The 19,774-nt window shown below is 38.9% G+C and overlaps 1 annotated feature.

Annotated features, from left to right (window-relative positions):
- Window positions 1–19,774: part of a centromere (Linear centromere model derived predominantly from reads generated in PMID: 17803354. This region does not represent an actual centromere sequence, as long-range ordering of repeats and unmapped WGS contigs is not provided by the model. For details of model production, see http://arxiv.org/abs/1307.0035.) that runs on past both edges of the window.

Raw genomic sequence — 19,774 nt, 5'->3', positions numbered from 1 at the left:
TCTGTCTTGATTTGATATGAAGATATTCCCGTTTCCAACGAAATCTTCAAATCTATCCAAATGTCCACTTGCAGATTCAACAAAGTGTTTTTCAGAACTGCTCTATCAAAAGAAAGATCCACGTGTGTTAGCTGAGTTCACACATCACGAACAAGTTTATGAGAATGCTTCTGTCTAGTTTTTATTTGAAGATATATCCTTTCTCACTATAGACCTGAAAGCTCTCCTAAAGTTCACTTCCAGATACTACAGAAAGAGTTTTTCAAAACTGCTGTACGAAAGGGAATGTTCAACTCTGTGACTTGAAAGCACACATCACAAGGAAGATTCTGAGGATGCTGCTGTCTACTTTTTATACGTAATCCCGTTTCCAACGAAATCCCCCAAGCTATCCAAATATCCACTTGCAGATTCCACAGAAAGACTGTTTCAAAACTGCTCTGTCAATAGAAAGGTTCAACTCTATTAGCTGCGTGCATATATCCCAAAGAAGATTCTGAGATTGCTTCTGTCTAGTTTTTATGGGAAGATATTTACCTTTTCACCGTAGGCGCCAAGGCGTTCCAAATGTCCACTTCCAGATACTACAAAAAGAGTGTTTCAAACCTACTCTGTGAAAGGGAATATTCAACTCTGTGACTTGAAGGCAGATATCACAAAGAAGTTTCTGAGAATGCTTCTGTCGAGATTTTATATGAAGATATTCCCGTTTCCAACGAAATCCTGAAATCTATCCAAATATCCCCTCGCAGATTCTACAAAAAGAGTGTTTCAAAACTGCTCTGTAAAAAGAAAGGTTCAACTCTGTTAGTTGAGTACACACATCACAAACAAGTTTCACAGAATGCTTCTTTCTAGCTTGTAGGGGAAGATATTCCCTTTATCACCATGGGCCTCAAACCGTCCAAAACGTCTACTTCCATATACTACAAAAAGAGCGTTTCAAACCTGCTCTATGAAAGGCAATGTTCAACTCTGTGACTTGAATGCAGACATCACAGAGCAGTTTATGAGAATGCTTCTGTCTAGATTTTATAGGAAGATATTCCCGTTTCCAACGAAATCTTCACAGCTATCCAAATATCCACTTGCAGATTCTACAAAAAGAGTGTATCAAAACTGCTCTGTCAAAAGGAAGGTTCTTCTCTGTTAGTTGAGTACATACGTCATAAAGGAGTTTCTGAGAATGTTTCTGTCTAGTGGTTATGGGAAGATATTTGCTTTTTCACCGTAGGCCTCAGAGCTCTCCAAATATCCCCTTGCACATGCTACAAAAAGAGTGCTTCAAAGCTGCTCTCTGAAACGGAATGTTCAACTCTATGAGTTGAATGCAAACATCACAAAGACGTTTCTGGGAATGCTTCTGTATAGATTTGATATGAAGATATTCCCGTTTCCAACGAAATCTTCAAATCTATCCAAATGTCCACTTGCAGATTCAACAAAAAGTGTTTTTCAGAACTGCTCTATCAAAAGAAAGATCCACCTCTGTTAGCTGAGTTCACACATCACAAACAAGTTTATGAGAATGCTTCTGTCTAGTTTTTATTTGAAGATATTTCCTTTCTCACCATAGAGCTGAAAGCTGTCCTAATGTTCACTTCCAGATACTACAGAAAGAGTGTTTCAAAACTGCTGTACGAAAGGGAATGTTCAACTATGTGACTTGAATGCACACATCACAAAGAAGTTTACTGAGGATGCTGCTGTCTACTTTTTATACGTAATCCCTTTTCCAACGAAATCCTCCAAGCTATCCAAATATCCACTTGCAGATTCCACAGAAAGACTGTTTCAAAACTGCTCTGTCAATAGAAAGGTTCAACTCTGTTAGCTTGCGTGCATATATCCCAAAGAAGATTCTGAGATTGCTTCTGTCTAGTTTTTATGGGAAGATATTTCTCTTTTCACCGTAGGTGTTAAGGCGCTCCAAATGTCCACTTCCAGATACTACAAAAAGAGTGTTTCAAACCTACTCTGTGAAAGGGAATATTCAACTCTGTGACTTGAATGCAGATATCACAAAGAAGTTTCTGAGAATGCTTCTGTCGAGATTTTATATGAAGATATTCCCGTTTCCAACGAAATGCTGAAATGTATCCAAATATCCCCTCGCAGATTCTACAAAAAGAGTGTTTCAAAAGTGCTCTGTAAAAAGAAAGGTTCAACTCTGTTAGTTGAGTACACACATCACAAACAAGTTTCACAGAATGCTTCTTTCTAGCTTGTAGGGGAAGATATTCCCTTTATCACCATGGGCCTCAAACCGTCTGAAACGTCCACTTCCATATACTACAAAAAGAGCGTTTCAAAGCTGCTCTATGAAAGGCAATGTTCAACTCTGTGACTTGAATGCAGACATCACAGAGCAGTTTCTGAGAATGCTTCTGTCTAGATTTTATAGGAAGATATTCCCGTTTCCAACGAAATCTTCACAGCTATCCAAATATCCACTTGCAGATTCTACAAAAAGAGTGTATCAAAACTGCTCTGTCAAAAGGAAGGTTCTTCTCTGTTAGGTGAGTGCATACGTCATAAAGGAGTTTCTGAGAATGTTTCTGTCTAGTGGTTATGGGAAGATATTTGCTTTTTCACCTTAGGCCTCAGAGCGCTCCAAATATCCCCTTGCACATACTACAAAAAGAGTGCTTCAAAGCTGCTCTCTGAAAGGGAATGTTCAACTCTATGGGTTGAATGCAAACATCACAAAGACGTTTCTGAGAATGCTTCTGTCTAGATTTGATATGAAGATATTCCCGTTTCCAACGAAATCTTCAAATCTATCCAAATGTCCACTTGCAGATTCAACAAAAAGTGTTTTTCAGAACTGCTCTATCAAAAGAAAGATCCACCTCTGTTAGCTGAGTTCACACATCACAAACAAGTTTATGAGAATGCTTCTGTCTAGTTTTTATTTGAAGATATTTCCTTTCTCACCATAGACCTGAAAGCTGTCCTAATGTTCACTTCCAGATACTACAGAAAGAGTGATTCAATACTGCTGTACGAAAGGGAATGTTCAACTCTGTGACTTGAATGCACACATCACAAAGAAGTTTCTGAGGATGCTGCTGTCTACTTTTTATACGTAATCCCGTTTCCAACGAAATCCTCCAAGCTATCCAAATATCCACTTGCAGATTCCACAGAAAGACTGTTTCAAAACTGCTCTGTCAATAGAAAGGTTCAACTCTGTTAGCTGCGTGCATATATCCCAAAGAAGATTCTGAGATTGCTTCTGTCTAGTTTTTATGGGAAGATATTTCCCTCTTCACCGTAGGTGTCAAGGCGCTCCAAATGTCCACTTCCAGATACTACAAAAAGAGTGTTTCAAACCTACTCTGTGAAAGGGAATATTCAACTCTGTGACTTGAATGCACACATCACAAAGAAGTTTCTGAGGATGCTTCTGTCGAGATTTTATATGAAGATATTCCCGTTTCCAACGAAATCCTGAAATGTATCCAAATATCCCCTCGCAGATTCTACAAAAAGAGTGTTTCAAAACTGCTCTGTAAAAAGAAAGGTTCAACTCTGTTAGTTGAGTACACTCATCACAAACAAGTTTCACAGAATGCTTCTTTCTAGCTTGTAGGGGAAGATATTCCCTTTATCACCATGGGCCTCCAACCGTCCGAAACATCCACTTCCATATACTACAAAAAGAGCGTTTCAAACCTGCTCTACGAAAGGCAATGTTCAACTCTGTGACTTGAATGCAGACATCACAGAGCAGTTTCTGAGAATGCTTCTGTCTAGACTTTATAGGAAGGTATTCCCGTTTCCAACGAAATCTTCACAGCTATCCAAATATCCACTTGCAGATTCTCCAATGGAGTGTATCAAAACTGCTCTGTCAAAAGGAAGGTTCTTCTGTTTTAGTTGAGTACTTACGTCATAAAGAAGTTTCTGAGAATGTTTCTGTCTAGTGGTTATGGGAAGATATTTGCTTTTTCACCTTAGGCCTCAGAGCGCTCCAAATATCCACTTGCACATACTACAAAAAGAGTGCCTCAAAGCTGCTCTCTGAAACGGAATGTTCAACTCTATGAATTGAATGCAAACATCACAAAGACGTTTCTGAGAATGCTTCTGTCTAGATTTGATATGAAGATATTCCCGTTTCCAACGAAATCTTGAAATCTATCCAAATGTCCACTTGCAGATTCAACAAAGTGTTTTTCAGAACTGCTCTATCAAAAGAAAGATCCACCTCTGTTAGCTGAGATCACACTTCACAAACAAGTTTATCAGAATGCTTCTGTCTAGTTTTTATTTGAAGATATATCCTTTCTCACTATAGACCTGAAAGCTGTCCTAAAGTTCACTTCCAGATACTACAGAAACAGTGTTTCAAAACTGCTGTACGAAAGGGAATGTTCAACTCTGTGACGTGAATGCACACATCACAAGGATGTTTCTGAGGATGCTGCTGTCTACTTTTTATACGTAATCCCGTTTCCAACGAAATCCTCCAAGCTATCCAAATATCCACTTGCAGTTTCCACAGAAAGACTGTTTCAAAACTGCTCTGTCAATAGAAAGGTTCAACTCTGTTAGCTGCGTGCATATATCCCAAAGAAGATTCTGAGATTGCTTCTGTCTAGTTTTTATGGGAAGATATTTCCCTTTTCACCATAGGCGTCAAGGCGCTCCAAATGTCCACTTCCAGATACTACAAAAAGAGTGTTTCAAACCTACTCTGTGAAAGGGAATATTCAACTCTGTGACTTGAATGCACATATCACAAAGAAGTTTCTGAGAATGCTTCTGTCGAGATTTTATATAAAGATATTTCCGTTTCCAACGAAATCCTGAAATCTATCCAAATATCCCCTCGCAGATTCTACAAAAAGAGTGTTTCAAAACTGCTCTGTAAAAAGAAAGGTTCAACTCTGTTAGTTGAGTACACACATCACAAACAAGTTTCACAGAATGCTTCTTTCTAGCTTGTAGGGGAAGATATTCCCTTTATCACCATGGGCCTCCAACCGTCCGAAACATCCACTTCCATATACTACAAAAAGAGCGTTTCAAACCTGCTCTATGAAAGGCAATGTTCAACTCTGTGACTTGAATGCAGACATCACAGAGCAGTTTCTGAGAATGCTTCTGTCTAGATTTTATAGGAAGATATTCCCGTTTCCAACGAAATCTTCACAGCTATCCTAATATCCACTTGCAGATTCTACAAAAAGAGTGTATCAAAACTGCTCTGTCAAAAGGAAGGTTCTTTTCTGTTAGTTGAGTGCATACGTCATAAAGGAGTTTCTGAGAATGTTTCTGTCTAGTGGTTATGGGAAGATATTTTCTTTTTCCCCGTAGGCCTCAGGGCGCTCCAAATGTCCACTTGCACATGCTACAAAAAGAGTGCTTCAAAGCTACTCTCTGGAAGGGAATGTTCAACTCTATGAGTTGAATGCAAACATCACAAAGACGTTTCTGAGAATGCTTCTGTCTAGATTTGATATGAAGATATTCCCGTTTCCAACGAAATCTTCAAATCTATCCAAATATCCACTTGCAGATTCAACAAAGTGTTTTTCAGAACTGCTCTATCAAAAGAAAGATCCACCTCTGTTAGCTGAGTTCACACTTCACAAACAAGTTTATCAGAATGCTTCTGTCTAGTTTTTATTTGAAGATATTTCCTTTCTCACCATAGAGCTGAAAGCTGTCCTAATATTCACTTCCAGATACTACAGAAAGAGTGTTTCAAAACTGCTGTACGAAAGGGAATGTTCAACTCTGTGACTTGAATGCACACATCACAAAGAAGTTTCTGAGGATGCTGCTGTATACTTTTTATACTTAATCCCGTTTCCAACGAAATCCTCCAAGCTATCCAAATATCCACTTGCAGATTCCACAGAAAGACTGTTTCAAAACTGCTCTGTCAATAGAAAGGTTCAACTCTGTTAGCTGCGTGCATATATCCCAAAGAAGATTCTGAGATTGCTTCTGTCTAGTTTTTATGGGAAGATATTTCCCTTTTCACCGTAGGCGTCAAGGCGCTCCAAATGTCCACTTCCAGATACTACAAAAAGAGTGTTTCAAACCTACTCTGTGGAAGGGAATATTCAACTCTGTGACTTGAATGCAGATATCACAAAGAAGTTTCTGAGAATGCTTCTGTCGAGATTTTATATGAAGATATTCCCGTTTCCAACGAAATCCTGAAATCTATCCAAATATCCCCTCGCAGATTCTACAAAAAGAGTGTTTCAACACTGCTCTGTAAAAAGAAAGGTTCAACTCTGTTAGTTAAGTACACACATCACAAACAAGTTTCACAGAATGCTTCTTTCTAGCTTGCAGGGGAAGATATTCCCTTTATCACCATGGGCCTCAAACCGTCCGAAACGTCTACTTCCATATAGTACAAAAAGAGCGTTTCAAACCTGCTCTATGAAAGGCAATGTTCAACTCTGTGACTTGAATGCAGACATCACAGAGCAGTTTCTGAGAATGCTTCTGTCTAGATTTTATAGGAAGATATTCCCGTTTCCAACGAAATCTTCACAGGTATCCAAATATCCACTTGCAGATTCTACAAAAAGAGTGTATCAAAACTGCTCTGTCAAAAGGAAGGTTCTTCTCTGTTAGGTGAGTGCATACGTCATAAAGGAGTTTCTGAGAATGTTTTCTGTCTAGTGGTTATGGGAAGATATTTGCTTTTTCACCGTAGGCCTCAGAGGGCTCCAAATATCCACTTGCACATACTACAAAAAGAGTGCCTCAAAGCTGCTCTCTGAAACGGAATGTGCAACTCTATGAGTTGAATGCAAACATCGCAAAGACGTTTCTGAGAATGCTTCTGTCTAGATTTGATATGAAGATATTCCCGTTTCCAACGAAATCTTCAAATGTATCCAAATGTCCACTTGCAGATTCAACAAAAAGTGTTTTTCAGAACTGCTCTATCAAAAGTAAGATCCACCTCTGTTAGCTGAGTTCACACCTCACAAACAAGTTTATGAGAATGCTTCTGTCTAGTTTTTATTTGAAGATATTTCCTTTCTCACCATAGAGCTGAAAGCTGTCCTAATGTTCACTTCCAGATACTACAGAAAGAGTGTTTCAAAACTGCTGTACGAAAGGGAATGTTCAACTCTGTGACTTGAATGCACACATCACAAAGAAGTTTCTGAGGATGCTGCTGTCTACTTTTTATACGTAATCCCGTTTCCAAAGATATCCTCCAAGCTATCCAAATATCCACTTGCAGATTCCACAGTAAGACTGTTTCAAAACTGCTCTGTCAATAGAAAGGTTCAACTCTGTTAGCTGCGTGCATATATCCCAAAGAAGATTCTGAGATTGCTTCTGTCTAGTTTTTATGGGAAGATATTTCCCTTTTCACCGTAGGTGTCAAGGCGCTCCAAATGTCCACTTCCAGATACTACAAAAAGAGTGTTTCAAACCTACTCTGTGAAAGGGAATATTCAACTCTGTGACTTAAAGGGAGATATCACAAAGAAGTTTCTGAGAATGCTTCTGTCGAGATTTTCTATGAAGATATTCCCGTTTCCAACGAAATCCTGAAATCTATTCAAATATCCCCTCGCAGATTCTACAAAAAGAGTGTTTCAAAACTGCTCTGTAAAAAGAAAGGTTCAACTCTGTTAGTTGAGTACACACATCACAAACAAGTTTCACAGAATGCTTCTTTCTAGCTTGTAGGGGAAGATATTCCCTTTATCACCATGGGCCTCAAACCGTCCGAAACGTCCACTTCCATATACTACAAAAAGAGCGTTTCAAACCTGCTCTAGGAAAGGCAATGTTCAACTCTGTGACTTGAATGCAGACATCAAAGAGCAGGTTCTGAGAATGCTTCTGTCTAGATTTTATAGGAAGATATTCCCGTATCCAACGAAATCTTCACAGCTATCCAAATATCCACTTGCAGATTCTACAAAAAGAGTGTATCAAAACTGCTCTGTCAAAAGGAAGGTTCTTCTCTGTTAGTTGAGTACATACGTCATAAAGGAGTTTCTGAGAATGTTTCTGTCTAGTGGTTATGGGAAGATATTTGCTTTTTCACCGTAGGCCTCAGAGCGCTCCAAATATCCACTTGCACATACTACAAAAAGAGTGCTTCAAACCTGCTCTCTGAAACGGAATGTTCAACTCTATGAGTTGAATGCGAACATCACAAAGACGTTTCTGAGAATGCTTCTGTCTAGATTTGATATGAAGATATTCCCGTTTCCAACGAAATCTTCAAAGCTATCCAAATGTCCACTTGCAGATTCAACAAAAAGTGTTTTTCAGAACTGCTCTATCAAAAGAAAGATCCACCTCTGTTAGCTGAGTTCACACATCACAAACAAGTTTATGAAAATGCTTCTGTCTAGTTTTTATTTGAAGATATTTCCTTTCTCACCATAGACCTGAAAGCTGTCCTAATGTTCACTTCCAGATACTACAGAAAGAGTGTTTCAAAACTGCTGTACGAAAGGGAATGTTCAACTCTGTGACTTGAATGCACACATCACAAAGAAGTTTCTGAGGATGCTGCTGTCTACTTTTTATACGTAATCCCGTTTCCAACGAAATCCACCAATCTATCCAAATATCCACTTGCAGATTCCACAGAAAGACTGTTTCAAATCTGCTCAGTCAATAGAAAGGTTCAACTCTGTTAGCTGCGTGCATATATCCCAAAGAAGATTCTGAGATTGCTTCTGTCTAGTTTTTATGGGAAGATATTTCCCTTTTCACCGTAGGTGTCAAGGCGCTCCAAATGTCCACTTCCAGATACTACAAAAAGAGTGTTTCAAACCTACTCTGTGAAAGGGAATATTCAACTCTGTGACCTGAATGCACATATCACAAAGAAGTTTCTGAGAATGCTTCTGTCGAGATTTTATATGAAGATATTCCCGTTTCCAACGAAATGCTGAAATCTATCGAAATATCCCCTCGCAGATTCTACAAAAAGAGTGTTTCAAAACTGCTCTGTGAAAAGAAAGGTTCAACTCTGTTAGTTGAGTACACACATCACAAACAAGTTTCACAGAATGCTTCTTTCTAGCTTGTAGGGGAAGATATTCCCTTTATCACCATGGGCCTCAAACCGTCCGAAACGTCCACTTCCAAATACTACAAAAAGAGTGTTTCAAACCTGCTCTATGAAAGGCAATGTTCAACTCTGTGACTTGAATGCAGACATCACAGAGCAGTTTCTGAGAATGCTTCTGTCCAGACTTTATAGGAAGATATTCCCGTTTCCAACGATATCTTCACAGCTATCCAAATATCCACTTGCAGATACTACAAAAAGAGTGTATCAAAAATGCTCTGTCAAAAGGAAAGTTCTTCTCTGCTAGTTGAGTACATACGTCATAAAGAAGTTTCTGAGAATGTTTCTGTCTAGTGGTTATGGAAAGATATTTGCTTTTTCACCGTAGGCCTCAGAGCGCTCCAAATATCCACTTGCACATACTACAAAAAGAGTGCCTCAAAGCTGCTCTCTGAAACGGAATGTTCAACTCTATGAGTTGAATGCAAACATCGCAAAGACGTTTCTGAGAATGCTTCTGTCTAGATTTGATATGAAGATATTCCCGTTTCCAACGAAATCTTCAAATCTATCCAAATGTCCACTTGCAGATTCAACAAAATGTGTTTTTCAAAACTGCTGTATCAAAAGAAAGATCCACGTCTGTTAGCTGAGTTCACACATCACAAACAAGTTTAGGAGAATGCTCTGTCTAGTTTTTATTTGAAGATATTTCCTTTCTCACCATAGAGCTGAAAGCTGTCCTAATGTTCACTTCCAGATACTACAGAAAGAGTGTTTCAAAACTGCTGTACGAAAAGGAATGTTCAACTCTGTGACTTGAATGCACACATCACAAAGAAGTTTCTGAGGATGCTGGCTTTCTACTTTTTATACGTAATCCCGTTTCCAACGAAATCCTCCAAGCTATCCAAATATCCACTTGCAGATTCCACAGAAAGACTGTTTCAAAACTGCTCTGTCAATAGAAAGGTTCAACTCTGTTAGCTGCGTGCATATATCCCAAAGAAGATTCTGAGATTGCTTCTGTCTAGTTTTCATGGGAAGATATTTCCCTTTTCACCGTAGGCGTCAAGGCGCTCCAAATGTCCACTTCCAGATACTACAAAAAGAGTGTTTCAAACCTACTCTGTGAAAGGGAATATTCAACTCTGTGACTTGAATGCACATATCACAAAGAAGTTTCTGAGAATGCTTCTGTCGAGATTTTATATGAAGATATTCCCGTTTCCAACGAAATCCTGAAATCTATCCAAATATCCCCACGCAGATTCTACAAAAAGAGTGTTTCAAAACTGCTCTGTAAAAAGAAAGGTTCAACTCTGTTAGTTGAGTACACACATCACAAACAAGTTTCACAGAATGCTTCTTTCTAGCATGTAGGGGAAGATATTTCCTTTATCACCATGGTCCTCAAACCGTCCGAAACATCCACTTCCATATACTAAAAAAAGAGTGTTTGAAACCTGCTCTATGAAAGGCAATGTTCAACTCTGTGACTTGAATGCAGACATCTCAGAGCAGTTTCGGAGAATGCTTCTGTCTAGCATTTTATAGGAAGATATTCCCGTTTCCAACGAAATCTTCACAGCTATCCAAATATCCACTTGCAGATTCTACAAAAAGAGTGTATCAAAACTGCTCTGTCAAAAGGAAGGTTCTTCTCTGTTAGGTGAGTGCATACGTCATAAAGGAGTTTCTGAGAATGTTTCTGTCTAGTGGTTATGGGAAGATATTTGCTTTTTCACCTTAGGCCTCAGAGCGCTCCAAATATCCACTTGCACATACTACAAAAAGAGTGCCTCAAAGCTGCTCTCTGAAACGGAATGTTCAACTCTATGAGTTGAATGCAAACATCGCAAAGACGTTTCTGAGAATGCTTCTGTCTAGATTTGATATGAAGATATTCCCGTTTCCAACGAAATCTTCAAATCTATCCAAATGTCCACTTGCAGATTCAACAAAAAGTGTTTTTCAGAACTGTTCTATCAAAAGAAAGATCCACCTCTCTTAGCTGAGTTCACACATCACAAACAAGTTTATGAGAATGCTTCTGTCTAGTTTTTATTTGAAGATATTTCCTTTCTCACCATAGACCTGAAAGCTGTCCTAATGTTCACTTCCAGTTACTACAGAAAGAGTGTTTCAAAACTGCTGCACGAAAGGGAATGTTCAACTCTGTGACTTGAATGCACACATCACAAAGAAGTTTCTGAGGATGCTGCTGTCTACTTTTTATACGTAATCCCATTTCCAACGAAATCCTCCAAGCTATCCAAATATCCACTTGCAGATTCCACAGAAAGACTGTTTCAAAACTGCTATGTCAATAGAAAAGTTCAACTCTGTTAGCTGTGTGCATATATCCCAAAGAAAATTCTGAGATTGCTTCTGTCTAGTTTTTATGGGAAGATATTTCCCTTTTCACCGTAGGGGTCAAGGCGCTCCAAATGTCCACTTCCAGATACTATAAAAAGAGTGTTTCAAACCTACTCTGTGAAAGGGAATATTCAACTCTGTGACTTGAATGCAGATATCATAAAGAAGTTTCTGAGAATGCTTCTGTCGAGATTTTGTATGAAGATATTCCCGTTTCCAACGAAATCCTGAAATCTATCCAAATTTCCCCTCGCAGATTCTACAAAAAGAGTGTTTCAAAACTGCTCTGCAAAAAGAAAGGTTCAACTCTGTTAGTTGAGTACACACATCACAAACAAGTTTCACAGAATGCTTCTTTCTAGCTTGTAGGGGAAGATATTCCCTTTATCACCATGGGCCTCAAACCGTCCGAAACGTCCACTTCCATATACTACAAAAAGAGCGTTTCAAACCTGCTCTACGAAAGGCAATGTTCAACTCTGTGACTTGAATGCAGACATCACAGAGCAGTTTCTGAGAATGCTTTCTGTCTAGATTTTATAGGAAGATATTCCCGTTTCCAACGAAATCTTCACAGCTATCCAAATATCCTCTTGCAGATTCTAGAAAAAGAGTGTATCAAAACTGCTCTGTCAAAAGGAAGGTTCTTTTCTGTTAGGTGAGTGCATACGTCATAAAGGAGTTTCTGAGAATGTTTCTGTTAGTGGTTATAGGAAGATATTTGCTTTTTCACCGTAGGCCTCAGAGCGCTCCAAATATCCACTTGCACATACTACAAAAAGAGTGCCTCAAAGCTGCTCTCTGAAACGGAATGTTCAACTCTATGAGTTGAATGCAAACATCGCAAAGACGTTTCTGAGAATGCTTCTGTCTAGATTTGATATGAAGATATTCCCGTTTCCAACGAAATCTTCAAATCTATCCAAATGTCCACTTGCAGATTCAACAAAAAGTGTTTTTCAGAATTGCTCTATCAAAAGAAAGATCCACCTCTGTTAGCTGAGTTCACACATCACAAACAAGTTTATGAGAATGCTTCTGTCTAGTTTTTATTTGAAGATATTTCCTTTCTCACCATAGACCTGAAAGCTGTCGTAATGTTTACTTCCAGATACTACAGAAAGAGTGTTTCAAAACTGCTGTATGAAACGGAATGTTCAACTCTGTGACTTGAATGCACACATCACAAAGAAGTTTCTGAGGATGCTGCTGTCTACTTTTTATACGTAATCCCGTTTTCAACGAAATCCTCCAAGCTATCCAAATATCCACTTGCAGATTCCACAGAAAGACTGTTTCAAAACTGCTCTGTCAATAGAAAGGTTCAACTCTGTTAGCTGCGTGCATATATCCCAAAGAAGATTCTGAGATTGCTTCTGTCTAGTTTTTATGGGAAGATATTTCCCTTTTCACCGTAGGTGTCAAGGCGCTCCAAATGTCCACTTCCAGATACTACAAAAAGAGTGTTTCAAACCTACTCTGTGAAAGGGAATATTCAACTCTGTGACTTGAATGCACATATCACAAGGAAGTTTCTGAGAATGCTTCTGTCGAGATTTTATATGAAGATATTCCCGTTTCCAACGAAATGTTGAAATGTATCCAAATATCCCCTCGCAGATTCTACAAAAAGAGTGTTTCAAAACTGCTCTGTAAAAACAAAGGTTCAACTCTGTTAGTTGAGTACACACATCACAAACAAGTTTCACAGAATGCTTCTTTCTAGCTTGTAGGGGAAGATATTCCCTTTATCACCATGGGCCTCAAACCGTCCGAAACGTCCACTTCCATATACTACAAAAAGAGCGTTTCAAACCTGCTCTATGAAAGGCAATGTTCAACTCTGTGACTTGAATGCAGACATCACAGAGCAGTTTCTGAGAATGCTTCTGTCTAGATTTGATATGAAGATATTCCCGTTTCCAACGAAATCTTCAAATCTATCCAAATGTCCACTTGCAGATTCAACAAAAAGTGTTTTTCAGAACTGCTCTATCAAAAGAAAAATCCACCTCCGTTAGCTGAGTTCACACTTCACAAACAAGTTTATCAGAATGCTTCTGTCTAGTGGTTATGGGATGATATTTGCTTTTTCACCGTAGGCCTCAGAGCGCTCCAAATATCCACTTGCACATACTACAAAAAGAGTGCTTCAAAGCTGCTCTCTGAAAGGGAATGTTCAACTCTATGAGTTGAATGCAAACATCACAAAGACGTTTCTGAGAATGCTTCTGTCTAGATTTGATATGAAGATATTCCCGTTTCCAACGAAATCTTCAAATCTATCCAAATGTCCACTTGCAGATTCAACAAAAAGTGTTTTTCAGAACTGCTCTATCAAAAGAAAGATCCACGTGTGTTAGCTGAGTTCACACATCACAAACAAGTTTATGAGAATGCTTCTGTCTGGTTTTTATTTGAAGATATTTCCTTTCTCACCATAGACCTGAAAGCTGTCCTAATGTTCACTTCCAGATACTACAGAAAGAGTGTTTCAAAACTGCTGTACGAAAGGGAATGTTCAACTCTGTGACTTGAATGCACACATCACAAAGAAGTTTCTGAGGATGCTGCTGTCTACTTTTGATACGTAATCCCGTTTCCAACGAAATCCTCCAAGCTATCCAAATATCCACTTGCAGATTCCACAGAAAGACTGTTTCAAAACTGCTCTGTCAATAGAAAGGTTCAACTCTGTTAGCTGCGTGCATATATCCCAAAGAAGATTCTGAGATTGCTTCTGTCTAGTTTTTATGGGAAGATATTTCCCTTTTCACCGTAGGCGTCAAGGCGCTCCAAATGTCCACTTCCAGATACTACAAAAAGAGTGTTTCAAACCTACTCCGTGAAAGGGAATATTCAACTCTGTGACTTGAATGCACATATCACAAAGAAGTTTCTGAGAATGCTTCTGTCGAGATTTTATATGAAGATATTCCCGTTTCCAACGAAATCCTGAAATGTATCCAAATATCCCCTCGCAGATTCTACAAAAAGAGTGTTTCAAAACTGCTCTGTAAAAAGAAAGGTTCAACTCTGTTAGTTGAGTACACACATCACAAACAAGTTTCACAGAATGCTTCTTTCTAGCTTGTAGGGGAAGATATTCCCTTTATCACCATGGTCCTCAAACCGTCCGAAACGTCCACTTCCATATACTACAAAAAGAGCATTTCAAACCTGCTCTATGAAAGGCAATGTTCAACTCTGTGACTTGAATGCAGACATCACAGAGCAGTTTCTGAGAATGCTTCTGTATAGATTTTATAGGAAGATATTCCCGTTTCCAACGAAATCTTCACAGGTATCCAAATATCCACTTGCAGATTCTACAAAAAGAGTGTATCAAAACTGCTCTGTCAAAAGGAAGGTTCTTCTCTGTTAGGTGAGTGCATACGTCATAAAGGAGTTTCTGAGAATGTTTCTGTCTAGTGGTTATGGGAAGATATTTGCTTTTTCACCGTAGGCCTCAGAGCGCTCCAAATATCCACTTGCACATACTACAAAAAGAGTGCTTCAAACCTGCTCTCTGAAACGGAATGTTCAACTCTATGAGTTGAATGCAAACATCACAAAGACGTTTCTGAGAATGCTTCTGTCTAGATTTGATATGAAGATATTCCCGTTTCCAACGAAATCTTCAAATCTATCCAAATGTCCTCTTGCAGATTCAACAAAAAGTGTTTTTCAGAACTGCTCTATCAAAAGAATGATCGACGTGTGTTAGCTGAGTTCACACATCACGAACAAGTTTATGAGAATGCTTCTGTCTAGTTTTTATTTGAAGATATTTCCTTTCTCACCATAGACCTGAAAGCTGTCCTAATGTTCACTTCCAGATACTACAGAAAGAGTGTTTCAAAACTGCTGTACGAAAGGGAATGTTCAACTCTGTAACTTGAATGCACACATCACAAAGAAGTTTCTGAGGATGCTGCTGTCTACTTTTTATACGTAATCCCGTTTCCAACGAAATCCTCCAAGCTATCCAAATATCCACTTGCAGATTCCACAGAAAGACTGTTTCAAAACTGCTCTGTCAATAGAAAGGTTCAACTCTGTTAGCTGTGTCCATATATCCCAAAGAAGATTCTGAGATTGCTTCTGTCTAGTTTTTATGGGAAGATATTTCCCTTTTCACCGTAGGCGTCAAGGCGCTCCAAATGTCCACTTCCAGATACTACAAAAAGAGTGTTTCAAACCTACTCTGTGAAAGGGAATATTCAACTCAGTGATTTGAATGCAGATATCACAAAGAAGTTTCTGAGAATGCTTCTGTCGAGATTTTATATGAAGATATTCCCGTTTCCAACGAAATCCTGAAATCTATCCAAATATCCCCTCGCAGATTCTACAAAAAGAGTGTTTCAAAACTGCTCTGTGAAAAGGAAGGTTCAACTCTGTTAGTTGAGTACACACATCACAAACAAGTTTCACAGAATGCTTCCTTCTAGCTGGTAGGGGAAGATATTCACTTTATCACCATGGGCCTCAAACCGTCCGAAACGTCCACTTCCATATACTACGAAAAGAGCGTTTCAAACCTGCTCTATGAAAGGCAATGTTCAACTCTGTGACTTGAATGCAGACATCACAGAGCAGTTTCTGAGAATGCTTCTGTCTAGATTTTATAGGAAGATATTCCCGTTTTCAACGAAATCTTCACAGCTATCCAAATATCCACTTGCAGATTCTACAAAAAGAGTGTATCAAAACTGCTCTGTCAAGAGGAAGGTTCTTCTCAGTTAGGTGAGTGCATACGTCATAAAGGAGTTTCTGAGAATGTTTCTGTCTAGTGGTTATGGGAAGATATTTGCTTTTTCACCGTAGGCCTCAGAGCGCTCCAAATATCCACTTGCACATACTACAAAAAGAGAGCTTCAAAGCTGCTCTCTGAAACGGAATGTTCAACTCTATGAGTTGAATGCAAACATCACAAAGACGTTTCTGAGAATGCTTCTGTCTAGATTTGATATGAAGATATTCCCGTTTCCAATGAAATCTTCAAATCTATCCAAATGTCCACTTGCGGATTCAACAAAAAGTGTTTTTCAAAACTGCTGTATCAAAAGAAAGATCCACCTCTGTTAGCTGAGTTCACACATCACAAACAAGTTTATGAGAATGCTTTCTGTCTAGTTTTTATTTGAAGATATTTCCTTTCTCACCATAGAGCTGAAAGCTGTCCTAATGTTCACTTCCAGGTACTACAGAAAGAGTGTTTCAAAACTGCTGTACGAAAAGGAATGTTCAACTCTGTGACTTGAATGCACACATCACAAAGAAGTTTCTGAGGATGCTGCTGTCTACTTTTTATACGTAATCCCGTTTCCAACGAAATCCTCCAAGCTATCCAAATATCCACTTGCAGATTCCACAGAAAGACTGTTTCAAAACTGCTCTGTCAATAGAAAGGTTCAACTCTGTTAGCTGCGTGCATATATCCCAAAGAAGATTCTGAGATTGCTTCTGTCTAGTTTTTATGGGAAGATATTTCCCTTTTCACGGTAGGTGTCAAGGCGCTCCAAATGTCCACTTCCAGATACTACAAAAAGAGTGTTTCAAACCTACTCTGTGAAAGGGAATATTCAACTCTGTGACTTGAATGCACATATCACAAAGAAGTTTTTGAGAATGCTTCTGTCGAGATTTTGTATGAAGATATTCCCGTTTCCAACGAAATCCTGAATTCTATCCAAATTTCCCCTCGCAGATTCTACAAAAAGAGTGTTTCAAAACTGCTCTGTGAAAAGAAAGGTTCAACTCTGTTAGTTGAGTACACACATCACAAACAAGTTTCACAGAATGCTTCCTTCTAGCTTGTAGGGGAAGATATTCCCTTTATCACCATGGGCCTCAAACCGTCCGAAACGTCCACTTCCATATACTACAAAAAGAGCGTTTCAAACCTGTTCTAGGAAAGGCAATGTTCAACTCTGTGACTTGAATGCAGACATCACAGAGCAGTTTCTGAGAATGCTTCTGTCTAGTATTTTATAGGAAGATATTCCCGTTTCCAACGAAATCTTCACAGCTATCCAAATATCCACTTGCAGATTCTACAAAAAGAGTGTATCAAAACTGCTCTGTCAAAAGGAAGGTTCTTTTCTGTTAGGTGAGTGCATACGTCATAAAGGAGTTTCTGAGAATGCTTCTGTCTAGTGGTTATGGGAAGATATTTGCTTTTTCACCGTAGGCCTCAGAGCGCTCCAAATATCCACTTGCACATACTACAAAAAGAGTGCTTCAAAGCTGCTCTCTGAAACGGAATGTTCAACTCTATGAGTTGAATGCAAACATCACAAAGACGTTTCTGAGAATGCTTCTGTCTAGATTTGATATGAAGATATTCCCGTTTCCAACGAAATCTTCAAATCTATCCAAATGTCCACTTCCAGATTCAACAAAGTGTTCTTCAGAACTGCTCTATCAAAAGAAAGATCCACCTCTGTTAGCTGAGATCACACTTCACAAACAAGTTTATCAGAATGCTTCTGTCTAGTTTTTATTTGAAGATATTTCCTTTCTCACCATAGACCTGAAAGCTGTCCTAATGTTCACTTCCAGATACTACAGAAAGAGTGTTTCAAAACTGCTGTACGAAAGGGAATGTTCAACTCTGTGACTTGAATGCACACATCACAAAGAAGTTTCTGAGGATGCGGCTGTCTACTTTTTATACGTAATCCCGTTTCCAACGAAATCCTCCAAGCTATCCAAATATCCACTTGCAGATTCCACAGAAAGACTGTTTCAAAACTGCTCTGTCAATAGAAAGGTTCAACTCTGTTAGCTGCGTACATATATCCCAAAGAAGATTACTGAGATTGCTTCTGTCTAGTTTTTATGGGAAGATATTTCCCTTTTCACCGTAGGCGTCAAGGCGCTCCAAATGTCCACTTCCAGATACTACAAAAAGAGTCTTTCAAACCTACTCTGTGGAAGGGAATATTCAACTCTGTGACTTCAATGCAGATATCACAAAGAAGTTTCTGAGAATGCTTCCGTCGAGATTTTATATGAAGATATTCCCGTTTCCAACGAAATCCTGAAATCTATCCAAATATCCCCTCGCAGATTCCACAAAAAGAGTGTTTCAACACTGCTCTGTAAAAAGAAAGGTTCAACTCTGTTAGTTGAGTACACACATCACAAACAAGTTTCACAGAATGCTTCTTTCTAGCTTGTAGGGGAAGATATTCCCTTTATCACCATGGGCCTCAAACCGTCCGAAACGTCCACTTCCATATACTACAAAAAGAGCGTTTCAAACCTGCTCTATGAAAGGCAATGTTGAACTCTGTGACTTGAATGCAGACATCACAGAGCAGTTTCTGAGAATGCTTCTGTCTAGATTTTATAGGAAGATATTCCCGTTTGCAACGAAATCTTCACAGCTATCCAAATATCCACTTGCAGATTCTACAAAAAGAGTGTATCAAAACTGCTCTGTCAAAAGGAAGGTTCTTCTCTCTTAGTTGAGTACATACGTCATAAAGGAGTTTCTGAGAATGTTTCTGTCTAGCGGTTATGGGAAGATATTTGCTTTTTCACCGTAGGCCTCAGAGCGCTCCAAATATCCACTTGCAGATACTACAAAAAGAGTGCTTCAAAGCTGCTCTCTGAAACGGAATGTTCAACTCTATGAGTTGAATGCAAACATCACAAAGACGTTTCTGAGAATGCTTCTGTCTAGATTTGATATGAAGATATTCCCGTTTCCAACGAAATCTTCAAATCTATCCAAATGTCCACTTGCAGATTCAACAAAACGTGTTTTTCAGAACTGCTCTATCAAAAGAAAGATCCACGTCTCTAAGCTGAGTTCACACATCACAAACAAGTTTATGAGAATGCTTCTGTCTAGTTTTTATTTGAAGATATTTCCTTTCTCACCATAGACCTGAAAGCTGTCCTAATGTTCAGTTCCAGTTACTACAGAAAGAGTGTTTCAAAACTGCTGTACGAAAGGGAATGTTCAACTCTGTGACTTGAATGCACACATCACAAAGAAGTTTCTGAGGATGCTGCTGTCTACTTTTTATACTTAATCCCGTTTCCAACGAAATACTCCAAGCTATCCAAATATCCACTTGCAGATTCCACAGAAAGACTGTTTCAAAACTGCTCTGTCAATAGAAAGGTTCAACTCTGTTAGCTGCGTGCATATATCCCAAAGAAGATTCTGAGATTGCTTCTGTCTAGTTTTGATGGGAAGATATTTCCCTTTTCACCGTAGGCGTCAAGGCGCTCCAAATGTCCATTTCCAGATACTACAAAAAGAGTGTTTCAAACCTACTCTGTGAAAGGGAACATTCAACTCTGTGACTTGAATGCACATATCACAAGGAAGTTTCTGAGAATGCT

Source organism: Homo sapiens, chromosome 13 (assembly GCF_000001405.40).
Source record: "Homo sapiens chromosome 13, GRCh38.p14 Primary Assembly".
Classification (NCBI taxonomy): Eukaryota; Metazoa; Chordata; class Mammalia; order Primates; family Hominidae; genus Homo; species Homo sapiens.
The sequence above is the reverse complement of the archived record's forward strand: the minus strand, read 5'-3'. Positions and strand labels throughout refer to the sequence as shown.